The 2,400-nt window shown below is 55.7% G+C and overlaps 1 protein-coding gene across 1 annotated transcript in view; it reads right to left on the reverse strand.

Moving 5' to 3' along the window:
- Positions 1-2,400, reverse strand: part of BOP1 (BOP1 ribosomal biogenesis factor) — a 29,394-nt gene that overhangs the window by 26,737 nt on the left and 257 nt on the right. The window contains exon 2 of the mRNA NM_015201.5: positions 314-523. Coding sequence (NP_056016.1) covers positions 314-523 — 210 coding nt within the window. The remainder of the gene's footprint in view (positions 1-313; positions 524-2,400) is intronic.

The following is a 2,400-nucleotide window of genomic DNA, read 5'->3' on the forward strand; positions in this document are numbered from 1 at the left end:
CCTGCCACTGGATTCCAAGCAGTAAAATCCCCACCTCAAGGAAACCCAACCTGTTGCCAGGAGGGTTGCCCGAGCATCGTCTGACGGGGAAGGGCCTAGGCATGTGGATTTTCAGAGTTCCTGGGAACGGCACGCAACTGGGGATGGAAACCAGCGTCCTAGAGCCCAAGCGTGCCCCAGGTGCAGTGAAGGAGGGACGCCGGCCTTGGGGTTCTGAGGGACGGTGGAGAAGGCAGTACAGTGGCAGTCTCAGAAAGCCCAAGGCCACCTGCACATGGGGGACAGCCCTCGAGGGGGCTCCTCGCTCACCCACCTGCACCTGCTCCTCAGTGGTCTTTTTAATCCCACTGTGGCCCTCGTCATCAAGGGCTCCGTCCTCTCCCTCCTCGTCGCCTTCGTCATCATCCTCACTGCTGTCACTGCCGGAATCTTCCAGGCCTGAGAACACACTTTCCTCGCTGTCGGAGACGCCAGAATCGCTGCCGGTGCTGTGGCTGAGAGGAGAGGTGCAGAGGAGGGGGGGCTGCAAGGAAACACTGGGTTGGTGACAACTGCCCCTCCAGGCATGGGGCACTGAACACTGCAGGGAGAGCTGCCTCTCGCCCCTCCAGCCACCCACCAGCAGCTCCATGTGGCCTCCAGGACCACACCCCTCCAGTCACAAACTTCCACCAAAAGCATCCACCCAACCTGAGCCTTCCTCATCTTCTACCTCCACTGACAAGACAGCCTCTTGCCTTTGCCATCGACATTTTAATTCCTAGCACCTCACAGGGAAGGGGCTTTTCAAGGACAACCTCCTCCTCTTGGAGCTCAGCTCTCATCGCAAAACTAACACTGCTCTCTACCACCCACTGACACTCCGGAGGCCCTGTGGGGTCAGGCTGGGCTGGACTCCACTGGGTCCCTCAGACAGCCTGCCTGAGCCCTCTCCACACCTCACCCTGGCATCCAAGGCCCCAGAGCCAAGAGGTCACTAGAAAAGGGGCTGGGGGCTGGAAGAGAAATGGGTCCCCAAAGGGCTTTTACCACCTGAAGCAGACGCCTCCTCATTTAACCAGATTGGGACCAACGATTGATCAGTAAATTGAAAGGATTGGCTGAAGAGTCACAGGAATGATAGAGACTCTAACCGCAACCACGCACCAACCCACCCACTCCTCTCTCTGAGCAGGACCACAGCTGCCTCTGAGCAGAGCCCTGCTGGCTGCGTGACACCGGCACACACAGTGTTCGGGTCCTTCACTGGCCTTAAAGGGTGGAACAAGAACTTAGACTCTTAGGAAGCAGTTGAAGGCCAGGCACAGTGGCTCACTCCTGTAATCCCAACACTTTGGGAGGCTGAGGCGGGTGGATCACCTGAGGTCAGGAGTTCAAGACCAGCCTGGCCAACATGGTGAAACCATCTCTACTAAAAATACAAAAATTAGCTGGTGGTGGCGGGCACCTCTAATCCCAGCTACTCAGGAGGCTGAGTTAGCCAGGAGGTGGAAGCTGCAGTGAGCCAAGACTGCACCACTGCACTCTAGCCTGGGCAACAGAGCCAGGCTCTGTCTCAAAAAAAAAAAAAAGAAAAAAGAAAGAAAAGGAAAAGAAAAGAAAAAGGAAGCAGTTGAATGCAGAATTCTAGATTTTACTGTTTTCCTAATAGTTTACAAGTCTCACTTAAGGTACGACCTGCATGTATTAGCTATTGCATACCGAGTGTTCACACAATGCCTCTCTCACACAGAGTCATGATGTGTCTTGGTATTCAGTCGGCTACACAATCACAATAACTAGTGGAAATGGCATCCGTGGCCTGGGCGCAAACAACTGGCTCCTGAGGACCGTTTAGTCCAAGGGTGGAAGTCGCAGAACCTGGCGCCTAGAGTGGCCTGCGGGCCATTCAGCCCATGGGAGCCAGGATGAGTTGAATTCGCTTCACAAAGCAATGGGGCAGTTTCAACAACCCAGCGCGGCCGCGGCCGAGGGGGCTGTGAGGGGCTGGCTGTCCATCCCCTCCACCACCCAATTTGATGATCCCCACAACCAAGACAGGGCTGAGCTAGCAGAGAGCAACAGTGAGTTCTAATACAGCAAATGCAGCAGACACTGGGTTCTATTCAGGTTTTCTTATTCTCATGTCTATCCCATGAGCATAAAAACGCAATTAACTAGCGTATACGTAGGTTAAGCATTTACTGGGAGCGCAAGCCGAGCCCTTTTATTGGCAGGATGCACAAATGGAACGGCTGGAGAGGCTGCTGCAAGGGGCGCCCCGTCCCCACTCCCCGCTCCCCCGTTTCTTTGCTTCCCGGACGCCGTCCTTTACCCCGCAGTCCGCTCTGCCTGAGACCCCCCGATAGAGGAGCTGCACCCACGCCCAAGACCGATTCACTGGGCGCGGGCGCCCAGGTG

This window comes from Homo sapiens, chromosome 8, assembly GCF_000001405.40.
Source record: "Homo sapiens chromosome 8, GRCh38.p14 Primary Assembly".
NCBI classification, from domain to species: domain Eukaryota; kingdom Metazoa; phylum Chordata; class Mammalia; order Primates; family Hominidae; genus Homo; species Homo sapiens.